This window comes from Homo sapiens, chromosome 12, assembly GCF_000001405.40.
Source record: "Homo sapiens chromosome 12, GRCh38.p14 Primary Assembly".
Lineage (NCBI taxonomy): Eukaryota > Metazoa > Chordata > Mammalia > Primates > Hominidae > Homo > Homo sapiens.
Window position 1 is genome coordinate 49,661,802 of NC_000012.12, and position 23,656 is coordinate 49,685,457.

General features: G+C 47.5%; 1 protein-coding gene across 14 annotated transcripts in view, besides 5 other annotated features; it reads right to left on the bottom strand.

The window, feature by feature from the left end:
* The window catches only part of FMNL3 (formin like 3), a 70,907-nt gene that overhangs the window by 25,303 nt on the left and 21,948 nt on the right, over positions 1–23,656 (bottom strand). For 11 of the 14 annotated variants that reach the window (NM_198900.3, NM_175736.5, NM_001367835.1 and 8 more), the window contains exons 2-5: positions 6,670–6,753; positions 4,326–4,406; positions 4,031–4,107; positions 165–248 (exon numbers count right to left, since the gene is read on the bottom strand). In NM_198900.3, the coding sequence (NP_944489.2) occupies positions 165–248; positions 4,031–4,107; positions 4,326–4,406; positions 6,670–6,753 (326 nt within the window). Of the gene's footprint in view, positions 1–164; positions 249–4,030; positions 4,108–4,325; positions 4,407–6,669; positions 6,754–6,828; positions 7,784–8,334; positions 8,395–8,833; positions 11,882–23,656 lie in introns of those variants that run through there. The other 3 variants (XM_011538974.3, XM_047429861.1, XM_047429862.1) reach the window with 3 other exon arrangements.
* Positions 1,087–2,025: an enhancer, noted in NCBI's record as "H3K27ac-H3K4me1 hESC enhancer chr12:50056671-50057609 (GRCh37/hg19 assembly coordinates)". NCBI's record gives its function as "activates a minimal SCP1, AML or CMV promoter by ChIP-STARR-seq in primed H9 embryonic stem cells {active_cell/tissue: H9 hESC(primed)}" and the evidence as "EXISTENCE:reporter gene assay evidence [ECO:0000049][PMID:30033119]".
* Positions 1,599–1,758: an enhancer, noted in NCBI's record as "active region_6321". NCBI's record gives its function as "activates an Ori minimal core promoter by ATAC-STARR-seq in GM12878 lymphoblastoid cells {active_cell/tissue: GM12878}" and the evidence as "EXISTENCE:reporter gene assay evidence [ECO:0000049][PMID:35858748]".
* Positions 11,717–12,415: an enhancer, noted in NCBI's record as "H3K27ac-H3K4me1 hESC enhancer chr12:50067301-50067999 (GRCh37/hg19 assembly coordinates)". NCBI's record gives its function as "activates a minimal SCP1, AML or CMV promoter by ChIP-STARR-seq in naive H9 embryonic stem cells {active_cell/tissue: H9 hESC(naive)}" and the evidence as "EXISTENCE:reporter gene assay evidence [ECO:0000049][PMID:30033119]".
* Positions 12,639–12,728: an enhancer, noted in NCBI's record as "active region_6322". NCBI's record gives its function as "activates an Ori minimal core promoter by ATAC-STARR-seq in GM12878 lymphoblastoid cells {active_cell/tissue: GM12878}" and the evidence as "EXISTENCE:reporter gene assay evidence [ECO:0000049][PMID:35858748]".
* Positions 12,779–12,858: an enhancer, noted in NCBI's record as "active region_6323". NCBI's record gives its function as "activates an Ori minimal core promoter by ATAC-STARR-seq in GM12878 lymphoblastoid cells {active_cell/tissue: GM12878}" and the evidence as "EXISTENCE:reporter gene assay evidence [ECO:0000049][PMID:35858748]".

A 23,656-nucleotide genomic window follows, 5' to 3' on the forward strand; every position in this document is an offset into this window, starting at 1 on the left:
GGGCTTGCCTGCCTACTTCCACACCACTGCTTGGGCTACTCCTTCCTGTCCAGGATTCCCATTTCCATCTTCATTGTTGAACTCTCACCCTTCCTTATCAAAGTAGAATGGAACTATGTCCTCCCCCAACTGGTCCCCAACTTCAGCCCCGGGGTGGTACTCACATGACAGAACACTGGGCAAAGGACAGGTAATCCACCAGTACATCCAGGCCTTTGTTTTCATCATTCAGAAATTCCCGCACCCACCTGCAGATAAAGGAAACACAGTGGAAGGGGTCTGCTAAAAGTGGGTCAAGGATGAGGGGGGTGACATGCCTCTGACCCAACACCTCCTCCTCCTGGAACCCAGCACCAGGCTAAGAAAATTCTGAAGATCAAAACCCATGACAGACCCATCCACGGTCATGGACTTCCCCTAGGCAGGGAAGTCAGGGATGGGGAAAGTTCAGGCCCTTCTAATGCCACTTGCTTTATCGTGAAGGTGCTTCAGACAAACAAGCTCTCAGGTACTCCCTCCTTAAGGGCCAGACCCTGGCTCAATTATTTTCTGCATCCCTCCACATGTCCTTGCTCAGTGTTTGTTGGAAGAATTTAGGAAGCATCAAGAGCATTTACTACAGGCCCGTGTGCAGAGTTGTGCTTGACCGAAGCCAGCAAGTCTCCAACTTGACTGAAGCCTCAGTCAAGACCCCAGCAGGAAGGGTCAAGGAGAGCTCTGGAACAGAGGCATCCTGGGGCAAAGCACTCTCTACTAAGTTTAAGGAGAGGAGTTTTAGAAAGCAGTGAGCAGAGATGTATAGAAGTTCTGTATTTAGTCATGTTGAGTTTGGCAGAACCAGAAAAAGCATGGGAGATGAACAGGAACTCAAGGAACTCCAGGATGTCTATGACCACTCAGAGTCAACCTGAGTACGTGGGTCCCCCTCAGCCAGGAAGGTAGACAACAAAGCACCTAAGGACCATATCCCAGGGCATTATTTTCCCTTCTGCTTTCAGTTCTTTTGGGCTGAGATATTCCTGGAATGAAAGTCAAGGGCAAATCTAGGGAACTGTTATATGACAGGTTCATTCCATAGCAGAAACATAAAACGCTCAGGATGAAACCCTAATCTAGAGTGCTCTACTCCTTCAGAATTTCTGGGGGTCTTTATAGGAAAGCTCCTCCCAAACTGCCCTGCGGGGCCTTTCTCCCCAACAGCTGGAAAACCAGTGCCATGTTGGCCAGCCACACCCCAAACTACAGAGAGACTCTGGAGCTACAACACCAGGCCCAGCTGAGATTAGGCAGCAGGCTCTGGCTGAAGCTGACTGACACCGGAGCTGCCTGAAGTTAGCTTCCTCTCTGGGGGCCAACAGGCCTCCCGTTTCCTGTCTGTCTGCTCTCCAGCTCCCCACCCCCTTCTCATTTCCTGTCTGAGTCTATACTGCTATTTCGGGATCTTGACACTTTGAGGAGAGGTTAAAGGGTGCTTAGGCAAGGCACAGAAACCAATACAAACCAGGGAAAGAGGAGCTGGAGAGGCTCTGGAATCCCACTTCCCAGCCTATCCCTCTCCAGAACCTGAGTTCCCATCTGCTGCTCCTGCACACCCAACTTCTGCAAGCCCTGGGGCTGATCAGGCTGTGACCAAAGCAGGATCCTCCTCTCCCCACCTTGCCCTGGGTTCCTGCCACCCTGAAGCACCCACAATCTGACAAACTCTTCCTGCCCAGAAATCCAGGAAGGATCTTGGTCCTTCCACATAACTCTACCCAGAGAAGCCGCAGTTCAGATGGCAGGCATGCCTAAAATGCCAGGCACTGAGCTATTCCCTGGGAACAAAGGACCAGGTCCAGGACCTCTAACTTGTGTGCCAACTGCCAAGAGGCCCCAGGCCTGGGAACCACGCTGCTTTGGACATAGCTCCTGGCCAGCAGCCAGAGGGGCAGGCACCAGGTAGAGGGGGCAGGCAGCAGGGACTATCATAAACTGCTCTGTGGCCTTCTCCCAATAAAAGCACACCCCTATCCTCAGATGACTACAGCAAGACTTAATCAAGAAAACAAGGCTAGGTACTAGTGGCTCCACTTTGGGATCCTCAAGGAGGATCACTTGAGCCTAGGAGTTCAAGACCAGCCTAGGCAACTATCTCTACTAAATTTTTTTTTTTAAGTGGCCAGGCAGGCCAGGCACGGTGGCTCACATCTGTAATCCCAGCACTTTGAAAGGCCAAGACAGGCAGATCACTTGAGCCCATGAGTTTGAGACCGCCTGACCAACATGGTGAAACCTCATCTCTACTAAAAATACAAAAATTAGCTGGGCGTGGTGGTACACGCCTGTAGTCCCAGCTATTCGGAAGGCAGAGGCAGAATGGCTTGAGCCTGGGAGGCAGAGGTTGCAGTGAGCCAAGATGGCGCCTGGGCGACAGAGCTAGACTCCATCTCAAAATATAAATAAATAAATAAAATAAAATGGCCAGGCATGGGTGTGTGCCTGTGCTCCCAGCTACTTGGGAGGCTGGGATAGGAGGATCACTTGAGCCCTGGAAGTTGAGGCTGCAGTGAGTCATGATCATGTCACTGTACTTTATCCTGGGCAACAGAGCAAGACCCTGTCTTAAAAAACAAATAAACAAAAAGAAGACAGAAGGGCTGAGAGGGACAGAAGGGACCTATGGAGGAATGCGGAGTGGTAGGGGGCTCAGGGTGGCAGGTAGCACTCAGGGTTGCCATCGGTGTCCTTCTTGCCCTCACACACAGGGGTACTAAGCAGCCCCTGCCACTTTGTCCTTCAGTCAGTGAAGTCAGTGAAGGACTGACCAAACAAAGGAAGAGGCTTGGCCACACCTTTCTCAGCAGCTTGACTTTCAATGTCTGATTCACAGATGAGGTACAGAAGCCATACTCTGGCCACCAGAGCACAGTTACTGAGGCCAGGAACCATCCCTTTCCTGTTCTCTCCTGTGCTGTTTCCCTTGTGATTGCTGCTACAGCTGGCTACACACAGGTGTCCCCTCCCTCTAAAGAATCCTGGGAAGGCTTGCCCTGGGGGCGGATGAGGGCTGCTGCTACAACAGGAGGGGAAAGGCTAATGATGTCATTTGGCTGTCTCTAACCCCCTGTCAGGAAGCCTGGGCACCCCACCCCCACCTGGGCCTCCACTGCTCACTCATAAGCACTGGACATTTGTGCCAGGCCCTCCCATCAGGTCTATACCCCTGCCTGCAGTTCTACATCACGTGTCCCTCACTGTCCTTTTGCATAAGCACACATACGCACACATATACACACTTTCTCTCTCTCTCTCTCACTTTCATATACCTTTGCATATACCTTTGCTGATTACAGTTTCGTAACACTGAGGCCAATACCCTCTTTCACTGTACCTTACACATTAGCTCTTTGCTTGTTCAGCAATTCCTGGTTTCCCACTCAGGGACTGGAAAAAAAAAAAAAAGACTCACACAGTTCCTAAGGGCCCTATCAATGTGTTGGGGACACCAGGGTCTGTGAATATAGAAAACATTCAGCTCCTGCCCCCAGTGCCTTACATCTTTCCTGGTGCTTAAGGAAGCTTCTGCTCATGAACTAAGATTATCTTCTCCCAAACAAGCAAATAAACTTCCAGGCACCAAAAAGTCCAAATAGTCACCGAATGGGAACTAGGTCTCAGCTACCCAATATAGTATGTTCTCCCCACCCTCAGCCTTCTCTGAGCCTCGCTTGGCCCAGCACCAGGCCACAGGCAGACTCCAGTCTCAACTGCTGTGGGAATGTCTTCCACTCAAAGCCACAGGCAGAGGACCCCAGGAGAGGCCTCAAGCTTGCCAGAAACATCTAGTCAGCAGCTGGCAGAGCTGAGGGGGTAGAAAAGCCAGTAAAGAACCAGTCCAAAGCTCTGGGGAGCCAGAAGCCATTCAAGGGGCAACTCTGCCCCATGGCAGGGAAGATGAACAGGAACACCATCCTCAGAGGACACCAGACCCTGTGTGCCCAGCCAGCAGCCTGGGGCCAGATGAAGAGGCTATACGGCCAATCCAACTCACCCAATGTGGTTGGTGCGAAGAGAGATCTCCAGCTCCCTTAGTACTTTGGTTGACTCCTGCACCCTCCTCCTGAACTTCTGTAAAAAGGGTAGGAAAGGAAGGGAATACAAGAGGGCAGTTATAGACTTTCCCTCCATTACTGGCCAGCCATTCCAGGCCCTTGGCCACAGAACCCTGAAATCCAACTCCCAATGCTCAGAAACAGATGTCCAATATCCAAGTCAAAGGGTTTGCCCCCAAACCCCACAGGACTATAAAGGGTGGCAAGACGGGGACTCTCTGCCTCATACTTCACCTTCCGAGTTACACTGGGGTCCAAGAAGCTCTGGAGTTTCTGAATGTAAGTGTGGGGAGGATTCTTCACCTGGAATCGTTCCTGTAAGGGAAACATGCATATGCGTATCCACAAAGACAACCAGAGACCTGAGGAGGGCACTGAGGAAGAAGAGCATTCATAGTGTTCAGTGTGAGGGGGACTCAGCCTCTCCAAGTTGTCACCTGGCTCTAGATATCACCTAAACTTGAGGTTCCCTTCCTTGACTTATCCCCAGGTGTTACCACCTGTTGCCATCTCCTCCTCCTCCAATTAGTGCTCCCTGAGCCTAAAATGTTTTTCTATGTCAAAAAGTATTTTAAAAGTGTGCTGCTTGCTACAAAGATGTTGGGGATTACAGAGTTGTGAACAGCACCCAAAATAAAGATATAATTGATTGCGCTTGGGAGGTCGAGGCAGGGGGACTGCTTGAGGCCAGGAGTTTGAGAATAGTCTGGATAACATAGGAAGACTCTGTCTCTACAAAAAAAACTTTAAAAAATTAGCCAGGCATGGTGGCTACCACATGCCTGTAGCCCTGGCTACTTAGGCTGAGGTGGGAGGATCCCTTGAGCCCCGGAGTTTGAGGCTACAGTAAGATATGATCATGCCATTGCACTCCAGCCTGGGCAACAGAGTGTGATCCCTCTCTAAAAAAAAAATTAAAAAAAGATATGATTGGGAAATGCTGTTCACTGCCTGGCCAACTAATGGATATGGGTTAGGAAGGCCAAGGGGAGAGGAGCTTGGCTTTGTAGAATCCAACTTTCTCAGCAATGAACTCTGCAGTTGGGACTGGAATGGTTTTGCTGAGCTGACACAGCTCAGGGCTGCAAACACTGCTCCTTGCCCAGACTCCCAACAATCCAAAGCAACCTCAAATACTGAAGGCTGCATTCAGCAAGGTCATCCCTCGATTCCCTTCTACCTAGGACCTGGGACCACGTCCTACTTTAGGCCAACCCCTTCATCTGACCCAAAAAGAAACTCAGGGAGTACCCCTTAGCATTCTGGTCCTATTAGAGCTGCCACCACCAAGATATCTGAAGAGCTGGTGGGTGGAGGGGCTGAAAAATGTCCAGGAGAATGATATAATGTTAGAGAGTAGGACCTAAAAACAAATCAAAGAAAAAAACGAAAGGTGTGAGAAACAGCTGAAATTATCTGACCTAGGAAAGACTGAGAGATCAATTAAAGACCCTCAATATCAAAGGGTTACTGTTCTCCAAACCCCAAGCAGGTGCTAACCAACTCCTCTTAATGCAGAACACAAGGATATGGACCTTTGTTGGAGAAGGGACTTGGACTAAGATCTCTGAAGCATACTACTAGCTTACGTCAAGCAGCATGACCTGGGGAGGCAGTGGAACAGAACAGTTAACACAGACTTGGCATCTGCTTGCCTGAGCTCAGCCCTGGCTTCATCACCTACTAGCATTAGGCAAGTTACTGAGCCTTGGGTTCTTCATCTATAAAATGCCAACACTGCCTTCCTCAGAGGGTTCTGTGATGATTAAATGAGATACTTCAGTGTGTTGAGTACTTGGTCCATAACAAGCACTCAATAAATGTTACCTATTATTATTTCACCCAGAGCCTGAAAAGAAATAATAAAATTGTACATGGCAAAGTGCTGGGTAAACACACTACCCACACTGCCAGATACTTCCATCTCTACCAAGATGTAAAAAGGTAAAAGCCAACTCTCCCAGCCCTGCATACAGTCCTGTCTCATTTCACAGACTCGTGACTCATGATCTTCAAATGCATGCAAGGGAAAGAGCCAGGTCATATGTGTTAGAAGACTCTCAACTCTGAGCAAAGTAATGATTTCTATTCTCTTCCAGCTCTCAACACTGTTCATGCAGAGAGAGTTTCCAGACCTTGACTCTTCTGAGATTTGGGAACAAAAGACTAGAGTCTGGGGCTTCTCATTCCTAGAGGCCCTGAGATAATGAGAAAGACCCTGCTATTTGCCAGGGCTAAGACAGAGTGAGAGATCAACAGTCCTTTGAGCACCCTACCGGGCATAGCCCTGAACCTGCACAGCCAATCCTATACCCCTGATCTACACAAATCCCCTTATACTATTGCCCATTGGAAGAAATCAAGACAGCTCTTTGTGGGAGCTAGAGGGGAACTTGGCCTGCCAGCTCTGTCTCTGTTATGAGAATCCTCTTGGAAAAGAAAGTGAACACAGATGAGGCCAAGCTTAGGCCAGGGTTCCTCAAGGAACCCAAGGCTGCACTCAATGCCTTTGGCCCCACAGCCTTAGCCAGCCCAAGACACAACTCCCTACCTCCCTCCTCTTTCCCAAACCCCATACCTGGTCACAGATCAGATCCCATTTCTTCTCATTGTCATACTGCCGCAGGAGCCGGGCCTTGTCTGGAGGCAGGTTCATGGAGCTCTGAGGAGAGAACCTGAGTCAACAAGGCTGAAACCTCCCCTCATCTGGAAAAGAGAAAGACTAGACTGCCCACACCTTTCTGCTACTGGGCCCTCAGACTTCACCCTGACACTCCATCGCTGATAAGGCAGGCTTGGAAAGGTAGAACAGTCCTCCAGCCTCCCCTTCATGTTTGGTTGAGCAATGTTTTCCAAACCACTGGTAGTAGAATCAATTTAATCAGTCAAAATTAACTCTATTTTAAATGAAAACGAGCTGATTAAAATAGGATAGAAGATACCAGAATTCGGAAGTATAAATAATGTTTTGTGAAGCTTTAGTTTCTTTTCTATTTTATGTATATAAACAAATATGTCATATACATACATCATACCATAAAATGTGACGGGAACATGAGATGGGTCAAAAAATTTGAAAACCCACCAGGTTAAAGCAGCAATTTTTTTCAGTTTGCTTTTCCCCCATAACCTGAGAGATGGGCAACTTGCCTACAACATCCATTCCCATGGGCAAATCCTGAGCCACCCACAACCTATGTAGATGCTATAACTGTGACCCTCTTGCCCATATCAGCACACAAGTGAATGAGAAGAACATTAGCATGAAGATAACTGCTTAAATTTTTTTGGAAAAGAATTTTTAGGCAAAAATTCACAAAAGTACCAGACTTTAATTGTTAGTAGCAAATTTCTTATGAAACACCTCCCAATTAATTAAGACACAGCAAAGCACCCTAACCCCTTGGCAAGCCACTCTAATACAGGCTATTTGAAGGACAGACCAGGAATCATTTTATCTTGTTCACCACTGTTTGGTGACTGAATAAGGTACGAGAGAATGAGTGAGTGAAGCCTAAGGACTTCATCCATGGACTAGCCCTACCCATGCTAGGAGGCTACGTTCCCTACCTTTATCCCCATTCAGTCAAACCTTTCTTCTCATCAGTCTGGCTGTCTTTGTTCCAGGTCACAGCCCTTACCTCTAAAGGCAGTCTGGGCCAGATGCAGTAGCTCACACCTGTAATCCCAGCACTTTGGGAGGCCGAGGTGGGCGGATCACTTGAGGCCAGGTGTTCAAGACCAACCTGGCCAACATTGCAAAATCCCATCTCTACCAAAAATACAAAAATTAGATGGGTGCAGTAGCGCACACCTGTAATCCCAGCTACTCAGGTTGCCAAGGCACAAGAATTGCTTGAACCTGGGAGGTGGAGGTTGCAGTGAGCCAAGATCACGCCACTGCACTCCAGCCTGGGCAACAGAGAAAGATTCTATCTCAACAAAACAAAACAAAACAAAACAAAACAAAACAAAACAAAACACACAAACAAAAAAGAATAAAGGCAGTCTGACACTTTAATCAGACCACTGTACCTGCTCCCTCGTAATCTTGAATCAAATATGATCGCCTACCCAAAGTGTCGCAGCTGCGTGATCACCCATGTGACTTCCCACAAATTCAGCTTCTTCTTAAGCATAGTGCCAGCCACCTAGAAGGCTGCCTCTCATCTTTCTCTCCTTTAACTACTGTCCAGGTTCAGCTCTAACTCCCTGGTAACCCAAGCATGACCACTTCATTTACCTCTGCCCAATTCTTGGCATCCTCATCCCTGGGGACATGAACTGTGTGCATCCAGGGTCCCTGAGGAGTCACATAGGCCCTGCATTATTCCAGAAGAGGCAAACAAATCCTAGAAGGAGGTCCTCTAACTTTCGATGGAACCAAAAGAAAATCCCAAACATTTATTCTGTCATATTATCTATTTATTATAAACATAACTCAGATATACTCCTAAACCAGCTGTATACTCATCTAGCCCCTAAAGTGCTGTGTCTATTTTCACCATCTCCAGCTCCCAATATGCATCTAGTGGGGGCAGTAAGGTGATAATAAACTTATGTGGAAGAGGTCCCAGGTCTGAGCTACAAGCCCAGCTACTGGCTGGAAACGAGGTCACTATAGCTCAAAAAGGAAGTAGGGTTGAAGTCTTCAGTTGGAATTTATACATGGAAGAATTTAGGACCAAAGAAGTGGGGCAGGTGAGAGAAACAAAGAAGGGGAAGAAAGCCCCACATCATACCTCTCCCCATGGTTCCTGCTGCACTATGCATCTGCCTGAACTTCCACAGGAAAGTGAGGCTGAGTCCTCCTCACAGTCTATGTAGGATGGATGGCAAGATGGTCAAACACAAGCCTGGAATGTTCTCTCTGAAACTACTTTGTTAAGGCCAATCTCAGCATACCCGTGTGGACAGCAGGACAGGAGCAAGAGGCCTCAACAAAACAAGGACTCAAGGTCAACCCAGAGTAGATCTCCTAACTCAGCCTAACTGTGGCCAGGCTGCTGCCAGATGAACTCAAGACAGAACTGAGCAGAAATAGTCCTCAGGACTGGCCCTGGCTCTGTGCATATCCTAAACACATCGCTGCCATCTGACCATTTCTCCTAAGTCTGTGCCATGAAAATAGTTTTCTGTTGTCTCCCCTGGAAGAAAGCTGCTGGAATGGAGGAGGGGGCAGCCTGTCACTGCTGTGGCAGACATCACATCCTGTCTATGCCAACTTCCTCCCTCAGCCACCCACTGTCAGCAGCTGTGGCTCATACTTCTCCACCAGGTGAACTGATGAGGAAACACTTGGTCCCCTCGGTTTGAAAAACTGGGCAAAGTCACCCCCTTGGGGAGTCCTGGCCTAAGAGCATGGAAGAGGCACAGCAGGGACCTGGTCAAACTCTAGATCCCCAGGAAGGAATGATCCCAAAGTATGGAAACGGGTGGTAGAGGCATGAAGTAGGTCTGACCATAGCCATATCCTCCTGTCTTGAGCTTTGGGTGGCACTTTCTTGACAGTGGTCTCAGACTTCTCTGCTTCTTCTGGGCTGAAGTGTGATAGGGAAGGAGGTGGGTAAGGGGAATTCCCCCAAGCTCCAGCATTCTCAGAAGAAACGGGTCACTGGCTGCCAGTGGGAGCCACCTGCCAAGGGGGCATAAACCAGAGCCTGGCCTGGACAGTTCTCTTCCTGCTAGACAAGGGCATCAGGGCTTTTGCCTCTACCTGATAATGTGTGTGAGTCTGGCAGGGCTCCAATGTCCTAAGGAAGCCTCTCTGCCCTTAGGAATGACAACTTCCTGAGTTCCGGGGACAGCAAAGTAGCAAATTTGACACAGTTCCGGTCTCAGTCAAAAGTTTGTTTCCTTGACATTTTTTCTTCAGTGGTTCCACAGACACTGTAGGCTCCCAGAAGGCAGAAGCTGAGCTAAGTTCTTGCTAACTCCTCATTGAGACCCTTGCTGAGCAGAAAGGAGGCAGTGGCTGTCTTGGAAAGGAGAGGGCACTAAATGTGGGTGAAGTCAGAGGGCCCAAGATCAACTTTGGGCTCTTCAGAGTTATGGAGCCTTGGTGAACGCATCCATAAACGAGATAATCTCACTACTTCACAGGGTTTTAGCTGAGGATTAAAAGATAAATATTTTATGTCTGTATGTGTCTGGAACACTGTGGGTGTTCAACACAGTCCCCCTCACCGCCTGCTTCCTCCCGAAAATCTTGTGTCATGTTCTGATGTCCGAGGGACCTGCCCTCTTGCTTCTAGGCTGTCTCTCTCTCTCTGCCTCCATCCCACCTTCAGCAATTGCTTCGCAACACTCTGACTACAGAGCAATCCATTATCCCTTCACTGATCCTGCTCTGGCTTCCTCTAAGACTAGGCGCCAATTTTGGTATCATTATCTTGAGGGGTGGGGGACATGGCAGGAGACTCCAAGGAAGAAGTAAGGGAGGTAAGTCACAGCCAAAACAGTCACAATAGGAGATGTGAGGAAAAGGGGAAGATGAACTCAAACTGAAAGCAACTCTGGGACCGATTCCTAAATCACAGGGAACCAGCAAAACATCTAATAATAAAAATCTATAATGGGAAGAAGCCGAAAGGCATGGAGCTGGTGCTTCTCCAGCAAGGCTGCTCTGTTTGCCAGTTTGAGGCCAGGCAAATCTCCCTGCACAATGGGGTGCATGTGAGCAAGGCCTGGTCCCTCCAGCAAGGTTTCCTAACTCTCCACCTGACCCCTGACAGCCCCAGTCAAGCCAAGGAGGGAGGCAGCTCTGGTGGCAGAGGTTCCCTTCCCTTTCCCACTCTGCACCCCCAGCCCAGTGAGCCCCTCCTCATTTCCTTCCCACTGCAGGGGAAGGGAAATGCCGGTAGGGTTTGGAGTTTCCTTCAAAGCTGTGAGCTCTGCTCTGGGACTTGCCCCTACTCTGACAGTCTTCTTGAGCCAGGCCTGGGGAAAACCCAAAAAACAGAAATAGGAACCACCAAAAATTCCCAACTGTTTTTGTTGGTCCCTATCATGATAAATCTTAGGAACAGAGACCAAAATGGCATAGCTTCGAGAGACAGGGAGAGAGACGTTTGTAATGTTCCTGGGAAAGAAACTGGAGGCTTTAGGGAAGCTCCAGCAGGGGCTGTTTGTTTTGAGCAAATACAGAAAGTGAGAGGTAGTTTTATTAATGTTTTCCCTCTTGAACCACCTCCCACCAGGTTTCCTATGGCTGTCTTCTCCCAAGTGTGGTAGCCTCAGCCCCCACACTCAGCCCATGGGGACAGGGAGTCCTGAGAAACTGAATCTAGAACTGCCCCACAGATTAAATGAGTGCTGTCCTGGGCACCACACACTTCTCAACGTGCTGCTGAGCCCCTGACCGCAGGTCCAAGTCCTCCGTGGCATCCACAGATCAGCTCATTGAGCAGATGAGCAAAGATGGAAAGTGGCAAGTGGACACAAAATTTGGGAGTCCAGAAGACTGCTGAAGGAGGAGCTGTAACACAGTGTTCCCACCCCATGTTCCCATGTTCCCACTAGGATTCCCCTCACAAACCAACAGATCTGCCCCAAGCCAGTGGCAAAGCAGGCAACACAAGGCACAAAGGCCCATTACTAGCTGCCAAAAGGACAGAGTGTAAGGAACGGCCTCCACATGTCTCTACTGGTGGGCAGTAGGCACAGCTGTGGCCAGTTGGGCCCTGCTCCCAAAGGGCAAGAGCCCAAGGAGGTGGGAGGTACCAGCTCCTGCTGCCTTGGCCCCTTGGCGGCCACAGCCAGTCCTGCCGCAGTAGCAGCTCCTAGACAATGAGAGTTATTTTCAGCCAGCACTTTAACACAAGCCAGCTGGCCAGTGAGCAGGGCGGGAGTCCTCCTCCACCCAGCCCGCCCAGACGGCAGGCCAGCCGGCCCAGCCCATTGCCTACACTGCTGCTGCCGCCGCCTCCACGTCACTGTTTGTTTATCTCATTGTTCCAGCACAGCTCCTTCTAACTCCCCTCAAAACTGCAATCCTTTGTAAAAGGGAATCAAAAAAAATCAGAGAGTTTGATCAAAGGTCCAAGAGCTAAAATTTTAAAAGGTCCAGACATGGGAAGTACGGCAGCCCCTCCAAACACCCACACTTTTCCCCAGCCTTGTGACTGGCTGGGGTAGCACAGGGGAGGAAATGGAACAGATGGATGGTCAGATCTCACTGCAGCTCTCACAGACCAAGGCCAAGCCTGGCTTCGCTGCCAACCTGGGGAGACAAAGCTCAAGACTGCTCTCCTTGCTTTGACTCCCTCCCATCCTCCTCTCCAGAGCTCGGGTTTGGAGAAGATAACTTGAAACAGACAGCCTGAAATGGGCTGAGTCAACTATGAAAGGTTCTGGGCAAAGATCTATATCCTGTGGCAGAAAGGAAATCACAGAACAGTCAATAACACTTGGCCAGAAGGACAGGCAACCCCCTGCCCTGCCTCGATAGAGTAGGGGCAAACACTTCAGCTGTACCACCCCACCACCACACCAAAGCACTCAAGAATATAAAGGATGAAAGGCAGCAGTTACCTCCCTGGACTCTAGGCCTCCAGCCCTGGTCCTGCCAAACTCTACAGCCTCCCCAGGGCAGCTCCCCATTACTACTCATCTCCTTCCTTATGTGACCCCACACACAGAAGCATGTGAGTACAAGTCTAGCTACACAGCTTTCTCTAGGCCCCAGCTGCCCTCTTAGACATCTGAACAAATTGCTTAGGTACCACATGACAAAAGGCATAAGAAAAATGGGTGCTCCTTAAGTGTCTGTAGTATCTTAGATCTGCCTTGCAGGTTTTGTTCAATTGAAGCTACCACTCTGGTGATGAGCTGCCAGGGAAAAGCCAGCTCTCACAGGCTCGGAACCATGTCTGGAGAACGTGCTTTTGTGGTCACTGAGGACTCTGTAACCAGAAATGACTTGCTGAGCAGTTACGGGCCAAGTCCCTGAGCAGCCTGGAAGAAAAAGAAATGGATTCACCAGATGTCTCTGGTTGAGCTCTGCAGTTCACACCAGGGAAGTCAGATGAAGGAGAGGTCCTAAAAGGCCAGCATCATTCAAACAAAGAGATGGCTTTTTCTAAATACAATTATACCCCCGGGGCCTCTTCTTCATCCTAGAGAATTCCTCCACCGGATCCTGAGAAGGCAAAGGATATTGGCCATGTCCCCAAAGTTGGTAAAGCCTCAAACTCTTTCCTCTGCCACACTGTTGGCCTCATACCTGACATGAGATAACCTCTGCAGGTAACCCTGAGGTCCCCAAACCCTGATTAAGGCCACCCTTTCTGGCCTGCCCAGTCAAAAAATATACAATCTCCGATAGGAGCTTCTGTCAGCGCTTCCCAACTGAGCACCCAGGCCCTAGTAAAAAGCTACTGCCACAGCAACTTGATCTGTCTATTGGCTCCTCGGCCCCTCCTCGTGGTTAGCCAGACCCACACACTCCCCAGTTACGCAGAATGGAAAGTATTCTGCTGGGGGCAGCTTATTTTCCAAAGCCAAGGAGTCTTGGGGCAGAGCCTCGCATTCTCCCTGCAGCCAACCAACGACCTCCCTCTCTTCATGAGGTTCTGTCCTCCCACCTGGGGAGCCCAATGGGCAGTGCTACCTCTCAGAGGACACAATATTTCTGGGGTCACAACTCCCTTTCTCCTCATACCAACAGGCCCAGTGAGTCTCCCTCCCAAGGTCTCTCATCTATATTTGCCCTTCCATTCCCACTGTCATCACCTGGGTGGGCCGTTACTGTTCACTTGCCGCCCTCTGGGATAAGCTTCTAGCTGGCATCCCTACTTCCAATACTTTCCTCCCTGCCATCCTGCACATGAATGAAACTTTCAAACTTCCAAGCACATAAGATAAATCATGTTTCTCCTTGGTTCAGAAATCTTTTTTGACTCCTTATCATTTATATGAGAAAACCTGAGCTCCTTGGCCTATTGTTCTTAGCATCTTACAGTAAGAGCTTCTGAGGTAAGATTCTCTCCAGGCTGGCCCCAGCTTCTCTGACCAGCCTCATCCTCTCCCACTCTATGGAATCTCTCTCTCCTGGGACAGCCACTCTTCCCATTCCTTAACCCTAGGATTTGCTTGTGATTGATGTTTCCCCAATCTGCTGACTCCCTACCTACTACCTACTACCTGACTTAAAATCCAGTAGCTCTATGACTACCCAACCTAAAATAATCAGCCCCTCTCTTGAGCTCCAAGCATAATCACATTTAAAGAATAAAATGGCAGAGACCTGCCTGTTATCCCCCAACCTCTTCTCCTCCTCCTCCTTAGTAGTGAACCTCCAACGCTGAGTTGGACACTTGACAGCCTAGAATTAATATGTTTGTCAGCTTCCCTTGCATTTAGGTATGGCTATGTGATCATGTGGGATGTAAACAGAAGTCGTGTGCACAACTTCTGAGAAATGTCATTAAAGGGAGGGAATATAACCTTCTTTTCTCCTTTCTGCTTCTAGCTAGTTGGAATATAGACAGTGGACGAACCTTCAACAACTATTTTAGACCATGAAGTGACCTTGGAAATGAAATCCACATGGATGAAATAACAAGAGAGAAAATACCAGGACACTGATACCATGGACCTTTAGCACAAATTGAATGTTTCATAGTGGGTTTTTTTTTTTTTTTTTTTTTTTTGCATATGCTTTCTCTATTCACAACTAGAAAGAACATAAACTCCTTAAGGGTAGGGGCCGTCTTATCCTTCTTTGAATCATGTGCAGGTGCTTAATAAATAAGTGATTGATCCTGCTCCTACCACTCCTACCACCAAGTCCCTTATTTGGTCTCCTGGTTAACTGGGGAAAGGGAGGATCCTTTAACTTTTTACCACTGTCCTTACTATTTCTGAGTTCTCTTATCTATAATCTGTCTTATGTCCTATAGCACAAATCACTTTATATATTGCTTTCCCCTCAGCAAACTCCTACTTTTCATTCTGAGTTTCAACTTCAGTTTATGCCATAATCTAAGCCACTTCCCTGCTCTTCTCTTTAACCAGACTCATCTTCTTATAACCTGCTAGAACACAGGCTTCTGAGAACAGGAATCACCATCAGCTTGTTTAGCACTTTAATAGGTGAGCAATAAAGATTGGGCAAATCGAATTTCTCCATTCGTATATTCCTTCTGTCCCTAAGTTTTCTACTCCATTGTACCCCAGAGAGATTACCTCCTTTCGAATTGCCAGCCATGCTCCTCCTCCAATTCACAACAGGTGAAATCTACCATCTCTAGCAAATCCTTCATAAATGACAGTAGTAACATCCACTCCCCTAACAGTGTCTCTGCACATTTACTAATTACTTTTAAATGTGTTCATGGAATTGTGACTTATGGTTAATGTTTCTTCACCTTTTCTTGGACAATCAATATATATGTTTATCATAAATCTCAGTGACCCTCCTAGAGGCACACATACAATGTAGTGGTTAAAGCACTAACTGTGAAGCCACACTACCTGGGTTTGAATCCTAGCTCCACCACTTACTAGCTGTGTGGCTTTGGGAGAGTTATTTAATCTCTGCAAGCCTCAGTTTCCTCACCTGTAAAATGGAGGCAGGAATAATAGTACTTACCCCATAGTGTTGCTATGATGATTAAATAAGTTAATATATGTAAAGCATTTAAATCAGAACCTATATAGTAAATATTACACATAATGCTACCTATGTTTTTTCAGTTTGGTTTTTTATTCAACATTTAGCTGGGAAACAACTCTATGTCAAGCACAAGCTAGAATTTGGCGATATCAAAATAAATAGGGTATGGTCACTACATTCAGAAAGTTCATATCCTGAGGAAAGGTATACATGCAAATCAGGGGTCAGTATAGACAGCATTGCTGTGAAAGAGGCACATACACTACTGTGGGATCCCAAGGAGGTAACATCTAATTAGACTGTGGAGTCAAGTAAGGTGTAAGACTTCCTGAAAGAAATGTCACAGGATTTATTTTATTATTATTATTTTTGAGATGGAGTCTCGCTCTGTTGCCTAGGCTGGAGTGCAGTGGCACGATCTTGGCTCTCCGCAAGCTCTGCGTCCCAGGTTCACACCATTCTCCTGCCTCAGCCTCCCAAGTAGCTGGGACTACACACATCCGCCACCATACCCGGCTAATTTTTTGTATTTTTAGTAGAGAAGGGGTTTCACTGTGTTAGCCAGGATGGTCTCGATCTCCTGACTTCATGATCTGCCTGACTCGGCCTCCCAAAGTGCTGGGATTACAGGCGTGAGCCACCGTGCCCGGCCTATTTTATTTTTTTTGAGACGGAGTCTCACTCTTTGCCCAGGCTGGAGTGCAGTGGTGTGATCTCGGCTCACCACAACCTCTGCCTCCCGGGTTCAAGTGATTCTCCTGCCTCAGCCTCCCAGGGAGCTGGGACTACAGGCGCGCACCACCATGCCCAGCTAATTTTTGTATTTTTAGTAGAGACAGGGTTTCACTATGTTGGCCAGGCTGGTCTCAAACTCCTGACCTCGTGATCCACCTACCTCAGCCTCCCAAAGTGCTGGGATTACAGGCATGAGCCACCACACTCGGCATTATTTTTATTATTATTTTTATTTTGAGACAGGGTCTCACTTTGTCATCCAGGCTGAAGTGCAGTGGCACAATCTTGGCTCACTGCAGCCTCGACCTCCCAGGTTCAAGTGATCCTCCTGCCTCAGCCCCTCAAGTAGCTAGGACTACAGGTACTCATCACCACACCTGGTTAATTTTTGTATTTTTAGTAGAGACAGGGTTTTGCCACGTTGGCTAGGCTGGTCTCGAACTCCTGGACTCAAGCGATCCACCCACCTTGGCCTCCCAAAATTTTAAGACTACAGGCATGAGCCACAGTGCCCCACCTTGAATTAGTCTTAAACATCAAGCGGGAAGGAATCAGGCAAAGGCAAGAGCAGAAGGGAAGATGGTGATATTCTAGGCAAGGAGACAGTATTTGCAAATACTGGCAACACAAAACACCATTACAAATCCAGGAGTCTGTAAGTGATTTACTACAAAGGCATGAAAGTATGTATAAGGAAATTACAGCAGGCAGAAAAGTCGGGTGATAAAGGATATGATGAGCTAAGTAAGTAGGTGGCATAAGTAGGATAATAACAATAATAACACTACTAAAATGAAAACAGTAATAATGAAAAAAGCTAACATTTATTGACAGAACTGCGATAAGCACTCTATATGAATTATCTCATCTAATTCTCAAAACAATGATATAAAGTCCTATGAAGTAGGGACTATCATTATCCCTATTTTACAAGCAAGGAAACGAAGGCTTGGAAAGGCCATGGAACTTGCCCCGCATCACAAAGCAAGCATACGGTGGATCTGGGATTTGAACCCAAGTCTGACCCCAAAGTCTAAGCTTTTAACTCCTCACAATGTCTCCTCTGAGACAATGAATCGTATTAGCCCTTCTTTGCACCTTTCCAAATTGTATGCATCCTTCAGGACCAATCAGTACCATCTCAACCTTCCTCATGGAACCTCTCCCAAACAACCCAGATCTCTGTGCATTCCTTCCTCTGAATTTCTGTGGGTTTTCTGCCCTAACCTCCCATTAGCACTCATATTCAATCATTCTTGGAACAGCATTTGTGTCTTTTTTTTTTTTTTTTTTTTTTTTTGAGACAGGGTCTCACTCCATCACACAGGCTGGAGTGCAGTGGCAAGATCTCGGCTCACTGCAGCCTCGACCTCTTGGGCTCAGGTGATCTTCCCACCTCAGCTTCCCCAGTAGCTAGGACTGCAGGCACACACCATCATGCCTGGGTAAATTTTTTTGGTAGAGACAGGTTTCACCACGTTGTCCAGGCTGGTCTCGAGCTCCCAGGCTCACGCAATCCACCCACTTTGACTTCCCAAAGTGTTGGGATTACAGGCGTAAGCCACCACACCCAGTGACATTCATGTCTTCTATGTACCATGCACTGCGCCAACTGGGGGACCTGTTTTGCCTTGCGATAACTCTTGTATTTACAAACAAGGGGGAACCTGAAGCTTATAAACATCTACTCTGGGCCAGGATGATGCTAGACCCTTCAATTGCAAGATTTCATGGAAAAGTCACTTCTCTCTCATATTGTTATTCATTTTTCACATTTTATATTATTTCCTGAACTAGAATATAAGCTCCTTGAGGACTTTGCCTTGAATACACTTGTTCCTAGCAAGTATGCCTGGCACACAGAAAAAGCTTAATAGATAGATACTCTGGGCTGCCCAAAGAGACAGCAGAGGCCATTTTGGGGGGCAGCACCCAGTACACTGGCCTAGGGCCCAGCTCTGGCTTTCCAGGAGTCTCATGACACATCTAAGAGCTTATTATAAAGCCATAAAACTTAATGAATCCCTTCCTACTTCCAGACACATGTGGGAGGGCATGACCCCTGCTTTATAGAAAGATAAACTGAGGTCTGGCACAGGCACACATCTGTCACAAGTTGTATCAGCTAGGGAGAGGCTCTACAAGTCCTGCCTTTCCTTGCTTTCAAATGGAGGTACATCCTCAGCGCCTCAGTGCTTCTATCCTCTTTTGGGAGGAATCATAATAACCTCAGTCTGCTCTAGATCCATGAGCTGTCCTCCCAATGTTGTCCCCTCTCACGCTTTGAAGGCTAGAACTTGACATAGAGGTCTAGGCTACCCACAGCCCAATGCTATTTTTGAGTTGTTCCAGCTTTTTTACATCTCGTTTGATTGTACAGCTAGGAAAAAACACCTCTTTAGACTTAACCTTTTGAGAGTTCCCTCCCCACGACCCAAATCTTCTCTGCTTCTTGAAATGTCTGATGTCCTAAGTGTTATATTCACTCAAGAACACGGATGAAAAACATTACTACTCATCTTTTATATGCCAGGCACTTTTCTCACATTCTCTCACTTACTATTCTCAATAACCACTGAGGGAATTAAGAATCTGAGACCAACTGGCTCAAGGTTACACAGAAAGTAGCAGGACCCAAATTCAAACCCAGACGTGTGGCCTCCAACATACAAGGTTTTCTACCATGTTCGCCCATCTCCTTACAAAGAAAACAAATCTCTTTTTCTAACTTGAGAAGGTCCAACTTGATTTATCTGACTGGCTTTGGTTGATCATTACACAATGCTTCCCTATTCTGCACAACTGAGTGAAACCAGCTGAACCAAGTATGAGTATGTGTGCTGAACATCTGAAGTTCAAGGCTTCACAGAGTAAGAGAGAGACTGTGCACAGTACAGATGCAAGGAAACTTGTCCTCTTGGACACAACCTAGTGACAAATTCTTACATCTGAGTAGCATTTTATTTTATTTTTTGAGACGGAGTCTCGCTCTGTCGCCCAGGCTGGAGCGCAGTGGCGCGATTTCAGCTCACTGCAAGCTCCGCCTCCCGGGTTCACGCCATTCTCCTGCCTCAGCCTCTCTGAGTAGCTGGGACTACAGATGCCTGCCACCACTCCCAGCTAAGTTTTTGTATTTTTAGTAGAGACAAGGTTTCACGGTGGTCTTGATCTCCTGTCCTCATGATCCACCCGCCTTGGCCTCCCAAAGTGCTGGGATTACAAGCGTGAGCCACTGCGCCCTGCCTGAGTAGCATTTTAAACTTTCCAGTACAGCACAGGCTTTGGAATCAGGGATGACTGGATTTGAATCCTGTTACTTTTCACGAGACAGTCAGAAAGTTCTCACTCTGCTGCCCAGGCTGGAGTGCAGCGGTGCGATCATAGCTCCCTGCAGCCCCAAACTCATGGGCTCAAGTGATCCTCCCACCTTAGCCTCCAAGTAGCTAGGACTACAGGCATGTGCCACCACGCTTGGCTAATTTTTTTTTTTTTTTGTAGAGACAGGGCCTCGCTATGTTGCCCAGGCTGAACTTGAACTCCTGACCTCAAGCAATCTTCCCACCTTGGCCTCCCAAAGTGCTAGAATTACAAGTGTGACCCACCGTGCCCAACCAGGGAAAGTTATGAAACTTCTTTGAACTTCAGTGTCTTCATTTACAAAATATGGATAATATCTGCCTCTTAAAAATGAATAAAAGGGATTTTGCACAGTGCCTGGCGCAGGAGAAAGACCCTGTAAGTGGTAACTGGAATGACCTACTCCAGGAGTCACATTTGACTCAAGTTAGCTTCTAAGTACATACGCAAAATACAAATACAATTTCAACCTTTTTTTTTTTTTTTTGAGACAGAGTCTCACTCTGTCGCCCAGGCTGGAGTGCAGTGGCTAGATCTTGGCTCACTGCAAGCTCTGCCTTCCAGGTTCACGCCATTCTCCTGCCTCAGCCTCCCAAGTAGCTGGAACTACAGGCGGCCACCACCACACCCAGCTAAGTTTTTGTATTTTTAGTAGAGACGGGGTTTCACTGTGTTAGCCAGAATGGTCTTGATCTCCTGACCTCGTGATCCACCTGCCTCGGCCTCCCAAAGTGCTGGGATTACAGGCGTGAGCCACCGTGCCTGGCCCTCATACTATTTTTTTTGAGACAGAGTACAGCAGCATAACCACAACTCACTGTAACCTTGAACTCCTGGACTGTTACAATCCTCCCACATCAGCTTCCCAAGTAGCTGAGACTACAGGTGTGTGCCATCATGGCTGCCTATTTTAATTTTTTATTTTGGTTGAGACAAGGTCTTGCTATGTTGCCCAGGCTAGTCTTGAACTCCTGGTCCCAATTGATCCTCCCGCCTTGGCCTCCCAAAACATTGAAATCACAGGTATGAGCCACTCTGCCCAGCCTAATTTCATAGTACTTTAAAATATATAAAAGAGTATAAATGTATAGTTGAATAGTATAGGTTAAACATACGTAAAGTATGATTCCCTCATCTCATGTGATCTAATAATTCTGTAGGTTAGAGCAGTTGTACCCTTGCCCCTTCAAAAGATAAAATCAAGAAACCAACAGCCACCCAGGGGATTCACAGGAAAACTGAGACCAGAACTTAGTGAAATGAAGTCGACTCACTAAGCTGCTCTGCTATTTGAGCAGCTGAGTGATCTGGGACAATTCTAACCTTTTGGGGCCAGGGTTTTGTTATCTGTGGAGAGATATGGGAGAGATTTTGCCAGGTTATCTCTAGTGTTCCCGCCTCATCTCAGATTCCTCACTTCCCCTACTGTCTCCTAACTTCCTCGGGTCCACTTCTGCCACAAATCTGTTTTTGGCCCCCTCAACTAACTACTCTTCTCAACAACTGTGCTTCTCTCCTTGTGACCTTACATAAGTCCTAGGAGTTGTCCCTCCCCATCACTGAAGGGCTGTGCTGTGAGACTGGAGAAAAGCTCACATTTTTATTGACAGTAGGCATAGATGACTCTCAAATATGTATTTCTATCCCAGACTTCTCCTTTGAGATTCAGCTTTAAATACTCAACCCCCATTAGACATTCCACCCAGACTTCCACAGGCTTTGCAACCTCATGTGTCTCAAAGTGGCCTCATCACTTTTCCTTCTAAGGTATTTCTTCTACTGTGTTCCCTTGTTAGAGTAGTTAACTCTAATCTAGCAAGCTAGAAATCTGGGTGCCATCCTCAATGCCTCCCTTCTCCCTCACCTCTATCCTCACAATGTAAAATCTAATCAGCCATCAAAAATTGAAATAAAATCTAATCAGTCATGAAAATTTAACTATTTATTAATAGTTAACATTTATTTGACTGTCCCATCATCTCCATTGTGCAAACTGGTCCCAGTTTAGGCTCCCATCATCACCACCACAGAGCCAAGGCCTTCCACTCAGCTGCCTACCTCCAATTCTGGTTCCTTCCCATGGTTGCCAGACTGACCTACCCACAACTCACAATCTGACTATGAAACACATAAAGCACAGTCTCTTCCACATGGCATTCAAAGCCCTCCTTACCACTTGAGCCCTGCCTCCCACGAGTCTCTGCCTTACACTTTACACTTCAACGGCACTGAGCAGCTCTGAGAGGGTTCTCTGAACACATCATGCTGTCTCAATTTAATGCCTCTGCTCATGCTGTCCTCTCTACCTGGAATGCTTTCTTTTCCAAACTTCTGTCCTATTCCTAAATACCCTTTTAGCCAGCAGAGATTTCCTTCTCTGGGCAATATTCCCCAAGCCCCACCTCTCTACTGTGCTCTCCCGATGCTTCCTGCATCTCTACAGAACTGCACTTAGACAGCTTTATGTTATAATTACATGTTTAATGTGTTTGTCTCCCCCTCTAGACTGAACTCCTGGGGGCAGGATGACTGTCTTAGTCACCTTTCTCCAGCTCTTAACACAATTCTAAGCACTTGCTGAGTGCATGAGTACTAGGCTACACTTGCTGAGTCTTTGAGGGCTGCTATCTTGCCCCCTCTCTGTTTCTAGGCAGGGAAAATGACACCTTAACCATTCTCAGTTCACCACCTCAGAGGCCCTCCTGAGTGCTGATGTGATTCTTTAGCCGCCCTGCCACAAAATAAGGCTCTCTCTGCCCTCTTGCCTCCAAGACAATCAGAAGCAGCTGGTAGTGCTTTTGTACTGTTATGACACCAACTTGACATTTCCCTGGATCTGTGGGCAACAAGTACTAGATGCTTTCTTTACAATTCTTGGAAAGAATCAACTGAGAAGCCAAATTCTACTGGACATTGTCTAGCTGGTTATCCTCTAGCTTCTGAGATGATGCTCAAAACTTTTAACAAGGACATTCTAGAGAAATGACAGATAAATGCTTTGGGACGCCACCGCGACCTGTTGCCCCATAAATGCACAAGAGATTCTTAATTCTTTAGTCAGCCACCATGCCAGCAATAATTAAACAAGCCCAAAGGGAGCAATTCATAGCTGCTATTGGACCATCAATCTGGAACTCATGACAGATGCCATCAGAAAATAATCTGCAGACGTGAGCACTTCATGAGGGAGCAGATTCACCAAGTGTCCTGCCTGCCAAGGGCCTGAGGATAATGAGTGCTTATATGAGGTTGATTCTGCTGAGTGGCAAGTAAAAACAAAATAACCACAACCACAAACGAGAAGTCTGTCCAAAGTAAGGGGCCCAAGCATACTCTGGACACAGAAGGGGTCCAAACAAAGATGCTCTTTCCTGGTCAGATATCTCTGGCCCATCCATTCTAGAACATTGTCTGGGCCTCACTTCAGGGCTGGCATTGAAATGAGAGGAGTATGTGATCTCAAGTCTACGAAATGAGCCCATATAACAGCAACTCTACCACCCCAGAGTTCAATAAAATCCCAGGAGCACAGGTCTCAACCTCAGCTGGTGTATGATGGTTTTACCCTTGGTAAACGCCCCCAGTTTTAAAATAAGGTCCAGGCCGGAAGCAGTGGCTCACGCCTGTAATCCCAACACTTTGGGAGGCTGAGGCAGGCAGATCACTTGAGCCCAGGAGTTCGAGACCAGCCTAAGCTGCATGGCGATATCCCTAGCTGGGCATGGTGGCACGCGCCTGTAGTCCCAGCTACTCAGGAGGCTGAGGCAGGAGAATCACCTGAACCCAGGAGGTGGAGGTTGCAGTGAGCCAAGATGGTGCCACCGGACTCCAGCCTGGGAGACAGAGAGAGACTCTG